This window comes from Homo sapiens, chromosome 9 (assembly GCF_000001405.40).
Source record: "Homo sapiens chromosome 9, GRCh38.p14 Primary Assembly".
Classification (NCBI taxonomy): domain Eukaryota; kingdom Metazoa; phylum Chordata; class Mammalia; order Primates; family Hominidae; genus Homo; species Homo sapiens.
Window position 1 is genome coordinate 18,103,837 of NC_000009.12, and position 24,299 is coordinate 18,128,135.

The following is a 24,299-nucleotide window of genomic DNA, read 5'->3' on the forward strand; positions in this document are numbered from 1 at the left end:
GCACTAGACCCATAGGTGGTCTATAAATAAGAATTTCTGAGGAATTGCTGCATGCTACACTCTTCACTTTGGAGATGTGTATGCTGATATCTGTGATGTATTAGCATATTGAAAGCCCTGAGATTTTCCTAGTGTCAAAACCAGTTTGACATTTTATAACCCAGAGATTCTCAAAGTTACTTTATCATGTGTGTGTGTGTGCACATATACAATTAAATAGTAACATCTTTACAGAACTCATATTGTTTAGAATATGCTTAGGGGAACTACTTGTTCAATCTCTTTATTTCATGAAAAGCTGAGGCCTAGGAGTATTTATTAGTTCTCTACAGGCCACACAGCTCTTGACAGAGTTGTGAACAGTATCTCCCAGTTTCCAGACCTCTTCTCTGCTGAATGATCTTACGTGATATACCACTAGCAGTGTAGTCGCAATCCCGTTTTTCCCTCTCTAGTTACTGCATGCTTCCCTTCCACTGATGAAATTTTCACCCAAATAAAGGGACGAAGTCAGGGATGAGCAATTCCACCCTAATCACAAAGCCTTGGACTTGATTATACAGTGCTTAGTACTAAAGGGACTGGAGCCTCCATAATTTCCATTTTAGCTCTTTTCCTGGTCTGCCAGCTTCCAGTCACCACCAGTGCTGCCCATAACCTGCAGGTGGCCACACTTGGGCTACCTCTGGGAGCTAAACAGTAGGTACACGTGGACATAGAGAGTGGAAAAATAGACACTGCAGACTCCAAAAGGCAGGAGGGAGGGAAGGTAGGGAGGGATGAACAATTACCTGTTGGGTTCAATATACACTCTTCAGGTGATGGGCGCACTAAAAGCCCAGACTTCACCACTATGCAGCATATCCTTGTAACAAAACTGCATTTGTACCCCCTAAATCTAAACTAATTTAAATAACAATAATTTTAAAAGAGCTGAAATGTAATCAGTTATTCAATTCAATCATTCAATTATTCAAATATTCAATTTGCAAGTCACTATCACCCTAGGCTTTCTTTATCTTACCTGTGTCTACTGGCCATTTCATCACTTATATGAGGCTTCAAACTAAGGGTGGACTGGAGCAAAGTAAAATAAATCAGACTTAATAAGGTAAGTTAGAGATTACTCAGCAACTATATCCCTAAAAACATTTATTTTTAAGGAAGAGGTCAAGGCCGTATGTATAAATAAAAAAAAAATAGCCTCTAAAAATAATCCATGGGAGAGAGTAGAAAGAGAGTACTGTGAGTCAGAGACTCAGTTCTATTCTAGGGTCTACCCCTAATGAGATGTGTAAATTCGTACAGGACACCGTCTCCGCTCTTGGTTGTCTCACCTGTAAAACAAGCGAACTGGAATATGTGCTCTCTGAGTTTCCTTCCAGCCCTAACTTTCGGTGTCTCTATGATCCACAAGTGTTAATTATCCGTGACCTGATTGCTATGGATAATCAGAACTTGGCCATACTTGTTTAGACTGACAGCATTCTAAAGGAATAGCCTAGAAAGAGAAGGAAAAGCTGAATCTCTGGAACGTCTCTGACACTTGCCCAACCAACGACCAGTTCATGTTTTCACAGTCTTTCATGCTATGCATTTTATTGTTTTACTTAATATTGCAAAATTGAAATCACCTTATTTTGATGGAGCATTTCTAAGCCCCTTATTTTATAAGATACCATCTTCTTAATTTCTGGAGTGTTTTGGCCTAGAGGGAAAAATAGGGTACTTGAAAGAATATTACTGTAGTGGAGAAATCACATAGCAACAAGAATGCAGAAAGTAAACTAGCCCCACAAAGAGTGCTTTGCAGACCTTACCCGTAATGCCAAATGCAATAAAGGATATGGGGCTGTTTCCATGGCGAAGATGTTGTAGAAAGATACAACCTCACTAGAATGTATACATAGACATACTTCTATTTAACTTAGTTACATCTTATATTGCATAGTCATTTTTCCTTTTGGGAAAACCATACTGACAAATTACTCAAGTAATCTCCTCTGGAGAGTAGAACAAAAAACACAGGCCCACTGCACCATGTCAGGGTTCTAAAAATTAGGAAGACTCATCAAATAACTCAGCCGAAGAACAGGTTTAGTTACAGCAGTTGGATGCTCAGTTCTGCAAAAGATTATTTTGCAATATCGGTCAGGAGATTATTTTATGTACAGATGTTTCTTATCTTTGAATTCCTAGAGTGACTCTCATCACCTCCTTTCGTCCCTGGGAGCTTCTTGCTCTGCTTGTTCAAAGCTACCCAATCTATCACTAAGGAGGCAAGGGAATAGTGATATGTGCTTGAGGGAAAGGGGAGTCACACTGCTTAAGGCAGGCAGCTCGCTTTGGCCCCCTAACTTGCATCTTGTTCTCCCTGCTTCTGAATGAAAGCAGCTAACTAAGGGAGAGTGTGAGCCTCATATGAAAAGACATTTGTTTCCAGATACAATGCTAAACTGGGATTGCTGGCCCATGCTGTTTTGCATCAGCAGATGCTTTAAGAATGCAGTGAAAACATCTTATAAAGTGAAAACCTATCATTTGTAAAGCTGCAAAGAGAGAGCTTTGTTTGCCCACACAGCATTTCTCAATGGAACCCCTGAGGCCATGGGTTTTTCAGGACAAGTTTCAACTCTGCTTAGCGCACATTTATTGTGTTAAGGAAAAAAGGCCCAAATAAGCAGGGCATACTATTGTGAATCTTGTAAAGACAGCCCGAGTTTAAGATCTCTGTCTATCTGGCTTTAAACTAGAGCCAATTCACAATTACCTATGATCAAAATAACAGAGTGTAGACAAATTAAAATGGAATCTACGTAATCTCTTCTTGACATTGAAAATGCCACCCTCACCTTCACTTATTTGGTTATTTTCAATCAGTCACAAGAGTAACTTACAAATATCTAATGCTTTATCAGAACAGCTGACAAGTAGCAGCAATTGTACATTTGAGTTGCATCTTTTAGATGAGGTTCTAGCCAGCAGGAAAAATGGTCTAAGTTTAGATGATAAGAATGGGCCTGAGTGTCTAATTACTATATAATCAAATAGACTGCATATTGCCAACGCCATGTATTAGAAGGGTAATATTTCACAGATATCTGGCAATTCCCACATTGAAACTTACTTTATTGACTAACAAAAATAGACTGTAGACCACATAGGTTGGGGCTTTTTTATGTAACATCTTCAAGCCACTCTGGGAATAGTCTTTCATTTTTATTCATCGTTCTTCCCTGCTGTCTTTTCTTATATCTGTTATTAAGTCTATGCCTAATTTTTCTTGCATAACTGCAGCACTCCATGCCTGTCATGAGGGTATAGTGGGCTGCATTAGATATTTGTAAGTTACTCTTGTGATTTGGAGATAGAAGTGGTCCACATCTCAGGCTATGATACTTCTCATCTCCCTTCAAAATTTGTGAGCTGGATGGCTCCTAATCCAGCAGTTTTACATTGATGGGCTCCATGTACATGAATTTTGCAATTCCCAGGATCCTAATGAAGATTTTAATTATGTTAGTGCTAGAATTCACCTCTTCCTCCTGCAGCAGAAGCATTTCCTTGCATGCATGAAGCTGAAACAAAACTGCCTGGGTAGAAATCCACAGTGACAGACACTATTAAATGAGAGAAGTATTTTGTTGTGATGCTGAACATGGCAGTACTTCAGGGAATAAGGAGCCGAAGTTCTAGATGAACATAAAAATAACATGATTTTTTTTTATAGCCATGCTCTGGGACTTGAAAAGGATATGGACTCAAAGGGAGAAAAAGAAATAGTTTAGAGACTTGAAAATAATTTAAGCAACAAAATAAAAACAAATACCAATTTTTCTGAGCTTCGGAGCAGAAAGATTCTTGAAGTCCAGACTGTGTTTTATGTGCTGCCTTTTTTACCCCAAACATTAAATCATTGTGAATTTGATGTCAAACTGCATGCCTGAAGACATTAACTGGAAGGCAGGTATATAACCTGGTACAGATTAGAAAGTTACGCCAGGAAGTGTTAAATGCTGAGCCAGAAGTCAGTCACGACCAGCATTGTTCTTCAGAGCCACCGTGCTGAGCCCTCCAGCACAGTTTCCTGCCGCCAAACCACTGCCGATTTCTGATGGGAAAATAGAATAAAATGACACCTGAAAGAATCCTGTTTCTAAAACATATAGGAAGTGGCTTTATAATTAATGATTTTTGAAAGTAGGTCTTTATTACACTTGAGAAAAGTCTTTCTAGAGTGAAAGCCTCTTTTGAAGAAGATATTCTTGGTGTTTAGTTTCCTCCAAAGCCCAAGAATCTTAAAATTGAAAGAAGTGAGCAAAAAGTATTCACGTTAACTCTTAAAAGCAAGAGTGTGGAATTTTTTTTTTTTTTTTTTTTTTGAAACAGGGTTCTACTCTGTTGCCTAGGCTGGTGTACAGTGACACCATCATGGCTCACAGCAGCCCCAACCTCCAGGCTCAAGCCATCTTCCCACCTCATCCTCCCATGTAGCTGGGAGTACAGGCTTGTGCCACCATGCCCAGCTAATTTTTAAATTTTTTGTTGAGACAAGGTTTTGCCATATTGCACAGGCTGGTCTTGAACTCCTGAGCTCAAGACATCCTCCCGCCTTGGCCTCCCAAAGTGTTGGGATTACCAGGGTGAGCCACTGTGCCCAGCCGAGAATCATGATCTTAAAGGCTCTTGGAAGCCAGATCACAGAGAAGGTTAAAATACAAAATATTGGTCTGTGTCTAGTAAATAGGTGGTTGGAGAGGCCTTGGACTTCTAAATTCTTGCATTTATTTAAAAAATACTGCATCCTCAATATCAAGGGTGATATTTAGAACTATTTTTTTTACTCTTAGAATTTATTTGAACATTAAGTAAAAATTAGTCAATGTGATGAGTCTTTTAATATCCCTTATCATGGACTTTTGATGAGAGAATTAGCTCTTTTTTTTTCTCCTTTTTCAATGTGTAATTATTTATCTATTTTAAGTGAAATTCTTTTCAGTATTAAAGTAAAAATCATCAGAATACATGTCGTAGTTGAAATTCACCAGCAGTTACCTGTGAAAGCATTGTTGTGTACAAGGTAGGGAGGGATATATTTTATTGTTGTCCCTGATCGTGGTATAAAATTATTAAAAGTTTGGGGCTGTAACGAATTGATAAGCATTACTCAGTGCTATAGTTTTTTTGCAACTCACCAGCAATCTTATAAAATTACTTCAGATACAGTATCATAAAAGACTCTTCTCAACTGCATACATAGACATTAGAAGTTTAAGACTTGTGAATACAATTTTATTGACAAATTCCCTCGCCTAATTTGAAGTTTGTTGGAGGAAATAAATTCTAATAATCTTTCCTCCTTTACATTCATATCTGGCCATTCCTATGTGTTACACCCTCATTTGTGTTCTCTCTTTCCCTTCCTCATTGTAAGGAGACTGGGGACTTGGTAGATCTGCCAGGAATCCCTCGGAAGGACCCAGGTGTTTACTCCTAATCAGCAGGTCATCCAGGAAGAGTTTGGAGCCTGCACACAGTAGCCCAGGAAGTAGCTGACTGCAGTACTTCTGTGTATCATATGTTGGCCAGTCTGGGACATTCTGAAGAATACTAAGTGCCCCAGGTAATAAATCATCCTCCCTCCTGTCATCCAACTTCAGTTTAGGACTCACATATTCCCTCTTTCCTGAGGGCAAATTTAAGGCATGGCCATGTGGTCTTTTGACCATTTCTTTGATATTCAAAGGGTATAAATAAAAGGAGATGCTTATTTCAGAAGGAGTCATCCTGGGACAAACAGATTCATGGTAATAACAAAACATGCATTTGAAGTATATCAGACAGCCTTTTAGACCCCCTTTACCAAAATCTTGTAGCCTAATTCTTCGGAACTTGAACCCAATGTCCCTTGAATTCTTAGCTGTCAGCAGCGTGGCACCAGGTCTTGCAATTGCACAGTTGCCTGCAGTCCTCTGACATCTATGTGGGAGTAACCTGTAGTCACACCCCTACTGCCACTTTCCCCTGCGTATAAAACCAAAGAGAGCAGAGTGACAGACTGATACCATATGTTCTTTCATAAGCAGTATCACTTTTCACTGTTGTGTGCAAATTACCTTGGGATACGAGAGGAGTAGAGAGTGATCCAGAAAGAGAAAGAGGAACACAGGCAAGTGAGGTGAGGTTAAGCTACTCCCCAAGCCTAGCCCCACAAGGCAGACAAAGGGCCCTAGCTTCTAGATGCCTTTTCTTTCTTCATCAAGTCTTTCCTCTTTCCCTAGAGACTACTTTCAGTTACTCAGTTTTCCTCTAATTGCATTCTCTTGGGTGCCTGAGGGCTCCATTTCTCTGAATATTTTGTGCAGCCATTGGTTGGTCTCAAATGGATCTGAGGGCCGTTGGCTATAGAGTGTCTAATTCTCAGCTCTCTGGCATCTCAAGGGTCTTCCATGATCATTCAGTCCTCTTCAATTCATGTTGCTTCCTCAAAAAGGAACTGGATTTGCGAACTGTGGCCCAGCGAATGCTGCAGGTAGGGAAAGTGCAAGACTAGGCAGGTTTAGAGAATCTCCATAATTCAGGCCACCAGGGTCTATGACTGAAATTAGCATTCTCATTCAAGGGATAAAGCCCTAAGATAACTTCTTGTGACACACCTGCTTTGTACCACCCTTTGAGAAAGCTTCAACCCCTATCTGAGACATCCTGAGCTTGAGGCTTTGAGGGGTCTTTTTGAGCTAGTGATTCACTGTCTCTTTTGTAAGAGAAATACCTGTGTAATGGAATTGGAGCAGCTGCTCTTCTTTTCTTGGTGACTACCAAGCTGTTGCTCAGGCATGGAGACTCTCTAAGCTAAGTGGCAATGGCCCTTTATGCCTGCTAGGAAAAGGGACCAGATTTAATGAAAGGTTCTTAGCAAAGGCTCAGGGCCAGTTTCTCTTTTGATCTCATCCTGCTATGCCTACTTATAAGTAATAGTTAAGGGCAAAAATGAATCTGGCTGATATGAAGAATAAGAGTCAACTGAACCACCCCTCCCATAATATGTATCAGTTGACTCGGGAACATTATTAGTTTTTGATCAACTTTGTTGAACAAACTTAGGTGAAGCAAATACTCTTCACACCTACCTCTAAAATATGATCTAGTTTTAGCTGATGTAAAACAGGTAGCAGCAATTTTCTTCTCTAAAATGATGCTCTCTCCATGTGTTCATTTTGCAGAGTGAAGTGTAGAAATGTGTTTCCTTAAACTTCCCTTGCTAAAAATAACAGCAACAAAAATTGACCTTTTGCTTTTAAATGAGATTGAAGAATTTTCTCCCTCTTGGGTCAGGGCTAAGTTCTCCTAACTGTCTATGCTATCTTCCCAATCATCATAATGACAAGAGTTATTTTATAAATCAAGATTTTATACTGGGGCTGGACACATTGAATTGTAATTTGTTTTAATATACAAAACTAAAAATAACTTTGCAGTGGGCAAAACCCCAGATGTGTTTTGTCAGTCTCTTTTTCACTTAATGTCTAAAGCTTTATGTATTTAAGGAAAATTTTATCCATGTGCTTCTCATTTATTTACACTTAACTCATCAGTATGTTTAATATGAGTTATTTGATGTCCAAGAAGCCCTTTTAAACTATTTTATGTGCTTATTTTATGTATCTGTGAAATGGGAAGTCATTTACTGCCAAAAAAGAAAGCTGTGCAAAACCTATCATCATCATTGTCAATAAATATTTACCTCTAAAATTTCAAGCATCATTTAAAAATATGCACAAGACATTTTGGAGTCCACTTTAGACTGACCGCCATAAACAGAACTTACATCTTTTCTCAACAGACAGTTTTGTACATTCAGGTGCTCATGTAGTTAAATAATACAGATACTTTCTTTTATGAAGTAAGAAGTTGGGGTCACGGTTTTCATAAAGCTATGAGTCAAGTGTTGAGCCCAAGAAAAGTCAACCACTGGCTATTTCCATGCAACTCTTTCCTGATATCACTGGTGAGTCCACCCCATCAGTACTACCAGTACCATGCATCTCTTCAAATGGGATTAATAGCTAGTTAGAAATTAATATTTTTTTAAGCATCTAATGGTAAGTTTTATATGTGATAATTCACTAAGAAAACAGTTTCCCAACAGGAGTCCCATCACTTGTGCCCCTTTAGCTTTCAGTGTTCCAGAGCACCAGGAACCTGATGCAGGTATTTATTTCACCACACTTATGTAGTAGAGGTTTATCCATTCATTCAGCACACTTATTTAGTTGTCACCCTGTTCTAGGATCCTACTCTGCTAAGTGCTATGAATAGGAAGATAGATAATGTGTACTTTTTGCAGTGCTTAGGTGGGTAGGAGAACTGGACATTGTAGTAGATGTCATTAAGGTCCTGTCCATTTTTGCCTTAGTCCATCTGAGTTCACCTGTGGCATGGTTACATGCAAGTGCCATCTGAAAGTGCAGTGGAGTTAATCTCCCCGAGGGGACGTACTCCATTAATAGGTATAGTGTGCTTCAGCTCCCATACTCCCTGGTATGATAACATTGAGGTATGTTCCATACAGATTCTCAGAGATTTCGAGGGGCTGAGACTCAGTTGCCCATAACAGTTATATACTCACAAATATACCCATTTTTTTGGGTTTTTTTTTTTTCCTAGTTCTTATCTCACTTTTCCTCGCCTGTGCTTCCTGAGATCATACCCTCTAAAACCAACTGCACCCATGTTTTTGTCTCACTGTTTCCTTTTGGGAGAAACCTAAGATAATGTGTGCAGAAAAGCAGTAATTGCAATATAGTGATGAGCTGTAACAGAAGTGTGCATACATAGTAGTAGGAGACAGTTGCACAATACACAGCAGTTATTTCATTTGGTAGACATTTGTGGGGAATTTACTAGCTCAATGTCAATATCCCCCTCTACCATGTAAATGTTATGAAGGCAGAGATGCCATCCATTCACTGCCTCATCCCTAGAGTCTAGCACAGGCTCTGGCATATAAGAGCTTAATACCTATTAGTTGAATTAGTAGTCATCTTTGTCAGAGGGATACTGAGGATTAGAAAGAAGGCTACCATCATTTGTATGTGGCTTGAACTTGTACAGTCAATCAGTAATGATGGAGCTGCTACGAAATCCCAGGTGTTCTAATGTCTAGTCCAGGGCTTTTTCTCCAACTGGCTTTAAAAAAGGGAGTTAGCTAGAAGGTTGTAGGGATTAGGAGTGGGGCAGTATGTATGAAAGCTGAGTTCTGAGCGAATACGGGGTACTCAGGGAAGTAAGTCATTTAGATACGATGGGATTGTGAAAAATGGGTGAAAATTGGTTGGAAAGAAAGAGATGAAGGACAATGAGTAAGTCCAATAGGAAGACCTGGTAGGCCATGTCCAGGCATTTAGGCTCTTACTGACTAATGACAGTGGCAGTGGTTTTGATGGGGACATAATTGAAGGATCTTGATGGGGCAGTATCTGGTTACATCTAACAAAACTCCAAATGAGGTGGGGGAGGTTAGATGGGATTGGGCAAGACTGGAGACAGCAAGATAAGTTCCATATATGTTCAGGAAAGAGATTTAGCAAGATTGACGGTGAGATGTACAGATGAGGCAGAAGAAAGTCAAGGTCCAGGGTCCTGGCTTGGGCAACTGGGTGGTGCCACTTCTTGAGCTAGAGCAGAAAGAAAAAAGCATTACGAGAGCTTCTAGATCTCAAGGTACCAATAACAAAGCATTCAGTTTGAGGGTATGTAGTATCTAGAGAGATAGGTCTTGACTGGAATGTGGATCCAGAAAGTCTTCAGCACGTGAGTGATTTTGTTGACACCATGGGAGTTAATTTAAAAAATTAAACATCTAAATACTGCTTACTATATGACAGTCACTGTTCTGAGGACTTGTAAAATATTAACTATATTATGTATATTAAAATTAAGTATATTGATATTAAAGTATGAAGTAACTGTGTAACTATTAACTCAGTATTTAACTAAACAACCCTATGAGATAAATGCTGTTTTTCCACTTTGTAGATGAGGAAACTGAGGCACAGAAAAGTGAAACAACTTTCTCAAAGTCATATAGGTAGAGAGTAGTGAAGGGTAAAGCTGGGATTGCTCTACTGAGTGAAGAGAGAAATAAAACACAAATGTCATAAATGCGAAGAATGGAATAGAAGCTTGAGATAGATTAAGACCCACAAGAAGGATCAAAAGAGGTAAGAAAAATATGAGGAAAAGGGTAGAATCTTAGAGGTCAAAGAGGAGAGCACTTTACTTGGGTCACATGACATTGAGAGATCAAGTAACAGGAAGGCTGAAGATACTCATTGGATTTCACGTTGAAAAAAATCATTAGTGACAGCACTTTTCATGAAATGATGAAAGTTGGCCATTTGATGAAAGTTGGCCATTCAACTCAAACACTCTCCCAGGATCAGGAGAAACAGCTACGGATAAAGCTATGCAAACCAAACAGCTTAATCAAACTTGAGGAATCAATTCTAGAAAATGAGTTTGACCTGACGAGTTTGTGCTGCATATACCATGTGAGGAAATTTAAAATGAGCCAAACTTTCTGAAGGCTGTAGGTATGTATTCTGATATCAGAACGGACAAGGCTTAGGCAGCAATAATGCTAAAAAATAAGGAAGGAGGGAGGAGAGGAAAACCTGAGTGAAAAACCCAGAAAAATATGAAAATTAAGGATTCCCCCATAAAGACTGTTCTCAAAATTGTTATTTTTGAGACCCAAATGCCTTCCTTTTGGTATTGCTCATATATGAAGAAAAAATTGTTACATCAGACTCTGGAACTCAAAATATTAAGAGAAAAAAACAAAAGAAGATTCATGTTAAATCCCTTGCTGATGAATATTGGCAGCCTACAAGAAACATGTGGGAGAAAGTTCTCAAGCTTAGAGTGTAAGTGGAATGACTTTTGCACATGCAGGAAAAAGCACGTCTAAAGACAGTGGTGAAGGCTGAAGGGAATGTGGGAGTTAGAAATCTGTGTAGGCAGGCCTAACAAGGTGGAGACAATTCTTTCTTTGCTGATGTTTTAAGGTAAGTCAAGAGAGTTTGGACATAAGCCACCGTGGTCGACTTTCTCCGTAAGGGACTTTTGCTGATACCTGCAGTGAATTCGTTAGTTGTCAATGATAATTGAATCGATTCAGGGTGTTTGCCTGGAAGGGATTCTACTTTCATTCTAACTTGCCAGGTTTTAAAAAAAATGAAACTTTACATCGGTCAGCTGAAATTGGTTTATGAATTGCTGGAAATCCCTAGACAGATTTCCATCAATTCAAAACATCATAGACAATCCTGTATTTGCAGTGGGCTTTGAGTTATTCACGAAATCCTATTGAACATCTTTTTTGCATTAATTTAGTGATATTTCTCACTGACGTCAAGGTGATGAAAAATAACACTAAACCTTACTTGGCTGACTGTGGAGAACTTGGAACTCTACCAGGCATGCTGCAGGCAATTTCTGGAAGGCAGGCAGGAAGGCAGGCAGGGGGACCTGGCATGCCTCAGAAACTACCTCAGAGATGAGCTTTAGAGAGAACAAGTCTACAATTATGGGAATAAAACTCAAAAATATTTAACGGCTGCCAGCAATTTCTGAAAAGCTATTAAAAATTTGAGAAACACACACCAATGATAGTGGTAAGAGAAAGTAGGTGCACTTTAAAAGGAAAAAAATCTGTATTTTGTTTATTTACCAGAACTTAAAGAGGATTTACTGTGTTCTGGGCACTTTTCTAGTGACTTTATGAATATTAATTCACTTAATATTCCTGACAACCCTCATGAAATGGGCATGATGATTATCCTTGTTTTACAAATAGTGATGATGTGGCATAGAGAGGTTGTTCATGGCCACATAGCCTGGTACTTTACAAATAGTGATTTTACAAATAGTGATGATGCTTGTTCGTGGCCACATAGCCCGGTACTGATCTGGGATTCAGACCTAAGGGAGTCTGGCTACAAAGTTTATGCTTTTAGCTACCATGCATGTTTCCCTTCATAAAGGAAATAGCGTTTTCTTTCAAGAGTCTAAACCCATTGTCTCTAACAGTACTCAGAATGACTTTGTCATGTGATAGCTTCTGCTGCATTCTAGTTTTACTAAGTTGTGCCTTATAAAACTGTTCTCTGATATTGTGGAGATAGCCATGTACCATGTCATGCCAGCACTATTAGAGGAAGCAGGGACAGAGACCGTGGGTAATGTGACATTGATGGTGTGATATTGCTTCCCCTCTCTGTGCAGTCGAAGGCTTGATGCCATCATATGTTAAGAGATTATAAATAGAAATAGTTTTCACTGCATAAACAGTGAACACAGACGTTTATGGACAATTAATGGACTACATAATTGTAGTAGTCCATTAATTGCAGACAAACTCACAGATTGTCTTTAGAGATCCAGTAGCTTCAAGAGATGGTAAGAAGCAGAAAGTCAGGATGTGTAAGCAATGTGTAAATGGCTTTCACATATGACTTTTCTCCTGAAACACACACCTTTGAGAACAAAATTATTATATTTGCAACAATTATATTGAGTATTCTGAATAAGACTTGTGTTTCTGACATAAGGGCTCTTGGTTGCTGGGTTTTACTTTGCACACATATTTGCCTGTCAGATTGGCACATTGCTTGTAATTGTTTCTCTCACTGTGTTATGAAATCTCCCTTTCTATCAATTCCTTTTCAGCCAATAGTAGTTCTCCAATGAGTCATGTGGCTAAATAAAGACAGGGGTTGCATTTTATGTAGCAGATGTCTTATCTGGTGGCTATAAGAATAGGCCATTTTTATTAAAATTTTCTTTTTCTTTTTTTATGGTTTAAATACTTTTTTAAAATTTTATTATGATTATACTTTAAGTTTTAGGGTACATGTGCACAACGTGCAGGTTTGTTACGTATGTATACATGTGCCATGTTGGTGTGCTGCACCCATTAACTCATCATTTAGCATTAGGTCTGTCCTCAGACTCTGGTATCCACCTGTCTTCTTGACATCTCCACTTATATTTCTAATGGACATCTCACATTTAAGTATCTACAATGACTATCTTTCTACCTGTGGCATTCTCTGTCTTAATTAAGGAAACTCCATCCTTCAAATTGTAAAAGCCTAAGCCTCAGAGGCATTTGACTTCTCTTTTTTTCTCATACACCTCATCCAGTTCAGCAAAGAATCTTGTCTCTACCTTTAGAATATGTCCAGAATCTAATCAGTCCTTATACTACTTGATGCCACCACCTATTTTGAACCACCATCTTCTCCTATTTGAATTGCTGTAGTTATCTCTATATTTATTCTTTTGCCATTCTCTAGCAGTCAAAGCAGTTCAGTAAAAATACAATTTGGCTAATGTCCTTCTTCTGCTAAAATCTCTGTTGTCTGCCCCTCTTTCAGAGTTAAGGTCGTAGTCTGTTAAATGACCTCTAAGGTCTGACATCATCTGGCCCTCGTTACTTTCTCTCCTACCGCCTTCACCCTCGCTTCTCTGGTCCAGCCACACTGGCTCATTGGTGTTTCCCATCCACCAGGCACACTCCTGCCTCAGAGCCCTTGCATTAGCTGTTTCCAAGGACTGGAGAGCTCTTCCTCCAGATACACCCAAGACAAATTCCTTCAGCCTCCTTTAAATCTTAGCTGAACTGTCACTTTGTTAATGAGGCTGGCCCTCTCCATCTTATTAAACTAGGACTCCCACTACTCCCAACACCTCTTCCCATTGTTGTTTCCCATGGCACCTGTCACCTAACAAATGCTGGAACTTAATTATTTATTACATTTATCATTTAGTATCTGTCTGCCCTGACTATAAAGTATACTTCTCAGGGGCAGGGGTCTTTGTTTTTCTCAATGAAACATCCTAAGAAACTAATGTAATGTCTGACACATAATAAATACTCAATATTTATTGAATAAACAAAAAATGAATTTAAAAATGCATGTTACATTGGACCTTTCTAATAAAACCATGCATAGCTACCTTGCTTCTCCATTCACTCTTGGCTAGCCACATGAGGGTTACAAATTTGTACTAACTCTATCTTTTGCTTTAATGCTTGATCATTTAAAACTTTAACCTCTTTACACTTCCTTTTAATACACTAGTTTGCAACATTGTCCTAAATATAGCATGCACCATTGCAATTAAATCCATCATGAATGTATTGTTATCTGAAGCACAAAAATAAATTCCTATAGAAACATCTAGCAGGTAGGGCTGGATTTGCTCTCACTTGATGAGTTTCATAAGTTATCTTTCTATTTGAAAGTCAAAAGGAATCACTTGCATCTTGATTAAAAAGAGCCGTAGCTTCTATTCAGAAATGGAAAGACGGACAACAATTCTGGTTCACTCAGTGATTCTTGCTAATGATCAGATTTGCTGCACAAGGATTCCAACCTTGCCTAAGAAGATGTGTATGGAAAAGGAGGATCCAGTGTGAAATCTCTTTCTATTTTGATTTAAGATGCTGAGCAATAAACAGTCCTTGAAGCTACCAGTATCCAAGGACACAGGTCCAGTGTTTTCCACCTTGTTTGAATATTCAGTTTAGGCAACACATGGCAGCTGGACTCAATCCTGTTGTTAGGATCATCCCTAAATGAAAGTGCCCAGTCATTACTCATGATCTGATTGGTATGCTCACAGAAGTGGGCCAACCAGCTTTCAGTCTGAGATTGCCTTTAATGGGGGAGAGGGAGAAGACTTTGGAACTCAGAGGCAGAAAACAAAGATAAACATAGAAACAGCATGGCCAAGTATTAGAATCATAGAATGCAGATGGGACAATTTTATCCTTCTACACTCAGCCCTAGGATTAGGTGGGACTTAAAAACCTGCAATGTCATCTGCATTGTCAGTTTGACACAGAGTAGAGCCAATTGCTTATAAACTCCTCTAAACGCATATGCCTTTATTCGAAATTGTAGTTGATTTGAAGGTAGCGCTATCCCTAAGTTGTCTAATATCCCTGTATTTTTTCACTAAGACAGAAAATACCGCAAAGCATGTGATTTCCACTTAACCAGTCCCTTGACTTTTAAATTCATAGTATTTTAATGCAGCAAACATTTGTTATTTTTGAGGGGACAGTACAGAGAGGTTGAGAGCATGGACTCCAGAGCCAGCTTGGCCCCTTCACATACTGATCATGTGACTCTGAGCAAGTTACTTAACCTACAATTTCTTCATCTGTAATATGGGAATAATCATTGTATCCATTTCATTAATTTGTGAGAACGGTATGAACTAATATTTTAAAATGGGTCAGAACAGTAATAGAAAACATGATGTAAGAAGTTGTTATTATTAAATTAACACTTCTCATCAAGATGCTCTTATTTTGGATGTAGGCTAGACATTGTGATTTCTACCTATGAATTAGGTCTTCCCTTCCTGAATATTTTTTTTTTATTTTTATTTTCTTGAGAGATGGAGTCTCTCTCTGCCACCCAGGCTGGAGTAGAGTGGCGTGATCTCGGCTTACTGCAAACTCCGCCTCCCAGGTTCAAGTGATTCTCCTATTCTCCTGCCTCAGCTTCCCAAGTAGCTGAGACTACAGGTGTGTGCCACCACGCCCAGCTAATTTTTGTATTTTTCAGTAGAGACGGATTTCACTACATGTTGGCCAGACTGGTCTCAAACTCCTGACCTCAGGTGATCCGCCCAGCTTGGCCTCCCAAAGTGCTGGGATTACAGGCCTGCATATTTTTAATATGAGGTTGCTTTCCTTCTTTAGTATGATGTACTACAGAGCAGGTGGAGGGCTGCTTTTACTACTATAAATCATTATCCTGTTTCTGCAGGAGTCCAGGGTGGGCTGCTGAATTAGGAGAGTATACAGTAATAAGGTTGCCAGGCGTGGAGGTCAGGGTGTATGTCTGAAAGGAGTTGCTGGCTTCACTCTCACCCTTTGCCAAAACTGCTCAATGAGTAACAGAAACCAAGACAGAAAGACATTGATAAAACATCCGAATCTATTACATAGCATGGTCTTTTAACTTTGGGAGATCAAAATATTCTACTAGAAAAATCTCATGAGCTCTAGGAACACACCACTTTTCTATGAATTCATTATATATAGGCCATGTATTTGTTTCCTCTTGCTGTGCAACAAACTTACCCCAAATTTGCCAGCTTAAAACAACGAATTTTTGTGAATTCATGATTTGTGAGATTCACGGAACTGGGAGCAGCTTAGTTGGATGGTTCTGGATCAGGCTCTCTCTAGGGTTACAGGAGTGGGCTGAGGCTGCAGCCATCTGAAAACTTGACTGGGCCACAGGATACCCTTCCAAGTTCACTCACATGGTCAATGACAGGAGGCCTCAGTTTTTTACCACATGGGCCTCTCCATGAGACTGCTCTCAACATGGCAGCTGGCTTGGCCCAGAGTGAGTGATTCCAGAGAGCATACAACAGAGCCCAAGATGGAAGCTGTAGTGTCTTTTATAACCTAATCTCAGAAGTGGCACAGCATCTGTTTTGCTCAAATCTGTTCATCACACACCATTCCTGGTACAATACAAGAGGGGAATGGAGGAGGTGTCAGGACTAGAGGTAGGAATTGTTGGGGGGGACCCTGGAGGCTGCCTACCACAGCCACATGGAACTTTCTAAGCAGGGATTTGTATCCCCTTTTTATGAATTAGGCTGTAGTCATAGAACAGTCTGAATTAAAAATAAAATGAAAAAGTTCTGTGTAATACCAGGTATTCTTCATTAAACATTGTGTCCATATATGCATAATATTATTTCATGTGTGTACACACACACAAAAAAACACATATAAGAAATGCAGAAATTAGTTCTGCTCAAACTTACTGAATCAGAATCTACATTTAAACAGATACCCAGATAATTTATATATAAATTAAGTTTAAGAAGCATCAGTGTAAGATAGACTATATTTCAAATGTTTTTAGTCATGTAATTTAATATACCCTGAAAATTAATTATGGAACAGAGCTAACTAAATTACCTATTATTAATACATTAATGTTTGATGCTGAATCTCTCTATCCACTCCCTTCCCCACCCTCCACCCTAACCCCTTCCTATATAGACTCTACACAGAAATACAGTTTGGCCCCAGAATGTGGAAGTCATACCAAAGCTTTTATTTATTTTTTTTCCCCTTACAAGAAAATAGGTGGAGTACTGCAATGACATTTTAAAAAACCGTAGTTTAAGATAAGGTTTGTTTTTATTGATTGCAGATGGTAAGAGACTTCCAAAGGATACAGTTGGCTCTAGGAAAAAGAAATCGTTTTGAAAATCATCAACTGGTATTTGCAAAATGTCATCAGGGACTTTCTTTTTCCCTCACCTAAAACAAATACAGACAGTTGTACATAAAGAGAAAGCTGTGTGTAAAAGCCAGCCATGTGTTTGAAATGATTCCATTTTTATAAGACATTTGAAGTACCATGACAGTTACACCGACAAAAAACTCAAACTAATTTGTTTTTGTGGTATTAATGAATCTGTATTGGTCTTGTTGGCACTGAGATTGAAATACCCACCCACAATTTCATTATAGGGTCAGTCCCTAAAGGGGAAGCCTTGAAGTAAAGGCATTATGCAGTCTGTAGCTTATTAAACAAGCCATCGAAATGTATTTTTCTCCAATTGCAAAAGTAATGCAAACTCATTGTAGAACACTTAAGAAATACCAACAACTATAAGGAAAAGTTATTTGAAATCCCACTGAAAAATAACTACTAAAAGAGATAATTTTTATTAATATTTTGACTTATTCCTTACTAGTCTTTTTCTATCATATGTCTGATATTTGTAATATATAAACACATATCATACAAGAGGGAAATGTCTAAGACTCCTCCTATGAGGAAAGAGAAATTAAAATGATGGTGTATTTTTACCATGCAAACAGAAATTCTGAAATTGTGGTGAGTTTCCTGGTGACCATTTCTGCTACTTGTATACTACCAAACTGACTCTGCACCCATCACCATTCTTAAAACTCTTTAGAAAATTTTCATCTCCTCCAAAAGATCCCTTGTACCAATTTCCCATGTCCTCCTCTACCCAGCCCCTAGCCACCACTGACTTACTTTCTGTCTCTGAACCAGACATAAAAGGCCATATATCAGATTATTCTATTTATATAAAATATCCAGAATAGGCAAATAGGAAAATATGCCTTCCTTAGTAACTGCCTTTTATGATATGTGACCTGGTGAAAGTTTCTTACAAAGTTAAACTTGGAGTTTGACATGGAGTCCATTTAAACATGGAGTTTAGTGTGGCACAGCAATTCCTTTTCTAGGTATATACCAAAAAATTTAAAACTATGTCCACACCAAAACTTATAAATGCATGTTCATAACTCCAATAATAGTTAAAAAGCAGAAACAACCTACATATCCATGACTCATGAATAGATACACCATGTGGTACATCCTGGAGAGCCTCTGCAACAGCAGCAACAGGAAACACAGATGATGGGTGAGCACCAGATGGTAGAGTCAAGAGTTTAATACGCTGAGGCAAGAAGGGTCAGTTAATCACTGGCAGAAGATCAGGGCCCAGGACTTTTGCTGTTTCTATGGATTCCTCCTTTCTCTTAGAATGAGAAATGACAGCCTTATGGTGAAATTTTTTAGCTGTTTATCATTTTCATAGATCTGATTCTACTAGTGTGATTTATGCTAAGCATAAATGGCCTAAGTTTTCTGTGGTTTTTTTGAAGAACATTGGAAAATAAGCCTACAAAATTCTGATTTTATAATAATGGTTCAGTCCAAAATAAAGGAATATATTCATAGAGATTAGCTGAAATTTTGGAGGATGAGTTACATACATCTTCTTTTCAGCGGTGCTGGTACTAATTCTGTCTGGAAGAAGCTGTACAACTGGGCAGGGCAGGTTGGTTTTTTGTTTTTGTTTTTTTGGGGACTAGGTCTCACTGTAGCCTCAACCTCCCCAGGCTCAGGCGATCCTCCCACCTCAGCCTCTTGAGTAGCTAGGACTATTGGTGTGTACCTCCACACCTGGCTAATTTTTGTACTTTTTGTCAAGATGGAGTTTCACCATGTTGTCCAGGCTGGTCTTAAACTCCTGGGCTCAGGCGATCCAAATACCTTGGCCTCCCAAAGTGCTGGGATTATAGACATGAGCTACTGTGCCCAGTCTCAAGTTTAAAGATATATTTTACCATCACTTTTCAAGCTTTTTGTCATGTGTGACAACAGAAAATTGAATTTCTTAATCCACTTACATTGAATTTAAAATCCACTTAGGAAAAGCTGGCTTCAGGTATTAGAATTCTTAACTCCTAGTAACTAGATATTCTAGCATATTTCATCTTCCAGATTGCATTGTGATTATAACAAGACACATTTTATGCATTTCAGTTTTCATCACAAGTTGGCTGAAAATCATGTTATGTACAAATATGACTTGATTCAATACAATTTATTGTTTGGGTATAATTTGAATTAGAAAGCCATTCTGTGTGCCTCTTACTCACTTATATTATGCTATTATGCTTTTGACATTAGAGGAAATACACTTATTTAAAATCCTCACAGATCCCAGAGCAAATGAAGAGATTTTGTTCTTTTAAAAATTGGAAGTAGTCTAGTTTTCTGATTGTATAATAACAATGTAATATATATTGTCTTTATTATTTATACTCACATACATAGATCACCTTTCCTTCAGAGATCTCAGATAACTTTTAAAAATAAACAGCTTTACTGATGTATAATTTACATATCATAAGATTTCCCTATTGTAAATGTATAGGTTCAATGAATTTTAGTAAATTTACAGAGTTGTACAGACGTCGACACTGCATAATTTTAGAACATTGCTGTCACCCCAGGAAGCGTCCCTGTAGCCATTAGCAGACACCTCTTCCCTTCTAGCCCCTGGCAGCCATTAATCTATTTCATATCTCTGGATTTGCATATTCTGGACATTAGATATAAATGCAATCATATAATTAAAGAAAAACTGACAAATTGTTTTTCACAGTGACAGCACAATTTTACATTCCTACCAGCAATCTATGAAGTTTCCAATTTGTCCACATTCTTGCCAGGACTTATTATTGTCTGTTATTTTAGCCATTCTACTTGGTATGAAATGGTATCTCATTGTGGTTTTGATTTGCATTTTCCTAATGATTAATGATGTTGAGTATCTTTTTATGTGCTTATTTGCCAGTTTTTTTTTTTTTTTTTTTTTTTGAGATGGAGTTTTTGCTCTGTCTCCAGTATGGAGTGCAGTGGCTCCGTCTCAGCTCACTGCAACCTCTGTGTCCTGGGTTCAAGTGATTCTCCTGCCTCAGCCTCCCGAGTAGCTGGGATTACAGGTGTGCACCACCATGCCTGGCTAATTTTTGTATTTTTAGTAGAGACGGGGTTTCACCATGTTGGCCAGGATGGTCATGATCTCTTGACCTCGTGATCTGCCCTCTTCAGCCTCCCAAAGTGCTAGGATTACAGGTGTGCGCCACCACACCCGACAGCCACTTCTATATCTTTGGGAAAATATCTATTCAAATGTTTTGCCAAATTCTTGTCATTTTATTGTTATACTGTGTTACTTTTTTATATATTCTGGATGCTAGGCCTGCATCAGACATATGATTTGCAAATATTTTCTTCATTCTGTGGGCTCTCTTTTTACTTTGTTGGGAATGTCCTTTGATGCATAAAAGTTTTGAATTTTGATGAAGTCCAATTGAACATGCCTGTTATATGTGATATAGTGAGTATATAAAAATAAGGTCATATTTGAACAGGTGTTTTTAAAAAGTCATTATTTAAATTGGAATTTCTGAGTGTTCAAGATGATTTCATTGAGAGAAAAAAAATGGAAAGCCATTTTAAGGCAAGGTATACTTGACTCCTTTGCAATTCAAAAGGGAATTTTTAAGTTCAAATATTTCCTCTTATTTCAAATATTAGTTTTCTGGTCCGAAGTGTTTTTTCTTTCCTTTGAGAATGTTAAGGAAAATTCTTAGTGTCCAATGCCAGAAAATACTGTTGAGGGTAAGATAGGAAATAGAATTTTCTGTTTTCTTAGGAGTTTGTTGGAGTGACTCATTCACCCAGTTTGGTATTGCTAGGAGAGGAAAATATTTCACATTCTTAAGGCAAGTCCCATCTCTTGCTGTTAAAAAACAAAACAAATTTAATGAAAGTTGTATTAGTCCATTTTCACACTGCTGATAAAGACATACCCAAGACTGAGCAATTTACAAGAGAAAGAGGTTTAACTGGACTCACAGTTCCATGTGGCTGGGGAGGCCTCACAATCATGGTGGAAGGCAAGGAGGAGCAAGTCGCCTCTTACACGGATGGCAGCAGGGAAAGAGAGAGCCTGAGCAGAGAAACTCCTGTTTTTAAAACCATCAGATCTGGTGAGACTCATTCACTACCATGAGAACAATGCTGGAAAGACCCACCCCCATAATTCAATCACCTCTCACTGGGTTCCTCCCACGACCATGTGGGAGTTGTGGGAGTTAAATTCAAGTTAAGATTTGGGTAGGGACACACCCAAACCATATCAGAAGTCCAATTTATTTATTTTTTTCTTGGTTTCTTATGCTTTTGCTGTCATATCTAACAAACCATTACCTAATCCAAGGTCATGAAAATTTATACATATGTTTTCTTCTAAGAGTTTTATAATTTTAGCTTTTAATTTAGATCTGTGATCCATTTTGAGTTACATTTTCTGCATGGCGAGATAAGGGTCCAACTTAATTCTTTTGCATGTGGACCTCTAGTTGTCCCAACCGACTTTGTTGAAGAAACTATTCTTTCCCCACATTTAATTAGCTTGTCACCTTTATTGAAAGTCAATTAACCACAAATGTAAAGAACTTTTCTATATTGCATCTTTTTTCCACACTGCTGACAGTAATTATTCCAAACTGTAGATTTGCTCATTTTTCTGCTACTAAATTTCTTCAAAGTCTTCCACGGACTCTGACAACAGGACTAAATCTGGCAGTATGCTGAGAAAGGGCAGGGGCTCTGGAATCAGCCATAGTTAGTTTGGAATCCAGTTCTACTTCTTATTGAAATTGTGACCTGGGACAAACTATTCAATTGCAACTAGAGTGTGAACATCATGCCAGTAGGAACCCTGCCTGACGTACCTGCCACCAAAACCTCAACACCGTCATGGAGCTGACACATCACTCACATTCAGAATGAGTCTAGTTTTCTCATCCTTAAAATGAAGATTACTGTAACTATTTCACAAGATTCTGGTAAGTATTAAATTCTGTAATATACTCCAGTGATTTTCTTTAACAATTATCTTAAATACAAAATACATTCAGAAAAGTACACAAATTGTAAGTATAGTGAATCATAACACCGTGAACATGTTTGTGTACCCACCATCCAGATCAAGTATCCCAGAATCTCTCTCACAAATTCCTTCTTACCACTATTCCCATTTCTCTTCCTTATAAGTAACTCATTCCTTTTAAGATTTAGTTCCAGTATTACCCTCCTCCCGGAAGTCCTCCTTTATCCTTCTATTTAGGGTCCAATACCTTTCTATATGCTTTCAAAGCCCCTTTGGCGTTGTCTTTATCACACTGTACTGCAGCCATCTGTTTACTTGTCTACCTCCTTACTTATTGTTGCATGCACCACACGTGGCAGAGTGTCCACCACTTGTAGTAGGCTTGCAATAGCCACTTGGGGAATAAAATCAGCTGATGTCATTTGGAGCCTGCCAAAACTACAAATATTTAATTTTGAACTATTATTATAATACTTTGGAAATCTTAAAGCAGTGGTCGTTTGGCACAGTAACACGGAGATGGAGGCAGACAGGTTAAAATCATGACTTGGGTAAATCTAGTATTGAATAGTTATCCAAACAGGTCTGTAGTTTTTAATTAGTTATCTCTAAATCTTTGAAAATATGTCTATGCTTATGCCTCTGGATGCAAAAACAGTATGTTGAAAACCCAGATTGCAACAAATAGTTGCAGTATGAGAAGATAGAGGGAGTTTCCTACACAACATTTTTTAGTTTATCATCGGTGGTAAGCATCATCGTAACCAGTATGCCTTCTGCCAGCCTGGGTGGGGAAGGAGAAGTGATGAGGCAGATCTTCCAAACTGTGTGTCCGTCAAGATGCTGGGCAGCCAGCAGGGAGGCAGCTAGGAGTTGTAAAGACAGCATTTCAGTGTGTAACTGGGAGCTCATTGTTAATGGTGTGTGACATATGGCACAGCTGTGAAGGTTTTGTGCCAGGCAGGATGAGCTAGTGCAAAAGCATGTGGAGACAACCAGGCCATTTAGACCTGAAGAGAAGCCTGTGCTTCAAGTAGGAAGAAAACAGGTGATAAAAGCCATTTGCCTTCATAGCATAGAGAAATAATTGTGATTAACTACCTAGACCACCTGATGGATTACACTGTACTAGATCCCTGAGACACCACTTTCTGATGTAATGGTCATGTAAAATGACTATGGGTGTGGGCATACGTGAATGGAGTGGGAGTGGATTGGAGAAAAAATTAATGAGAATTTTTAACAAATGGAGTGTGTGGATCTGTGTGTGGGGTGGTGCATGCATAGGCACATACACAACACACACACACACACACACACACACACACACACACACACAACACATGCTTTAATAGAAGGAGAATACTAACATTTTTACCAGTGCCAAAATGTTCCTCTAGCTTGGTGGGCTTGAAAAGTGATACATCCAGTTTAGACATTTGGCAGGCTGCATGTGGAAAGTTTTCACATCTTGTCAACCTTGTTTTAAGGAGTCTTCGCTGTCAGCACTGAGAAGGTTAGTGACCTTGGGAATGGGTGGGGAAAAAGGGGAGGTGTGTGTTGGTTTGGCAGCACACAGATAGTAGAAAATGGTCACCAGGAAACTTGCCATGTTTTGGAAGTATTGTTTAAAGCAAAGACTACCGGCATATCATCATTTCCATTTTGTTTTCCTCTCCTGATAGAAGTCTTTCATATGTTTGTCTCATGTTTCTTTGCTTAATGTGGCATGTAGCATGTTAAGATAGGACCTTGACCTTTTCTTAGAAGAGGCATTTGCAAATAGATTAAAGCTTAGGTGGTTGATAATTTTAGATGCTTTTCATTAAGAGATAACAGATTGCCTGTTGGTTGCTCAGTTTTATGTAAATTTTTGTCTAACAAATGACTAGTTGCATAAAGTTGCCAAATAGTTTGTGATATACTGAGTCAGAATTTTAGTTAGGTAGAAA

General features: G+C 38.6%; 1 protein-coding gene across 10 annotated transcripts in view; it reads left to right on the forward strand.

The window, feature by feature from the left end:
* Positions 1–24,299, forward strand: part of ADAMTSL1 (ADAMTS like 1) — a 1,004,318-nt gene that overhangs the window by 197,204 nt on the left and 782,815 nt on the right. Inside the window, exon 1 of one of the 10 annotated variants that reach the window (XM_047424076.1) lies at positions 9,934–11,069. The exons of the other annotated variants lie outside the window; for them this stretch is intronic. The gene's annotated coding sequence lies outside the window, so the exon portion shown is untranslated. Of the gene's footprint in view, positions 1–9,933; positions 11,070–24,299 lie in introns of those variants that run through there. 10 annotated transcript variants of the gene reach the window in all.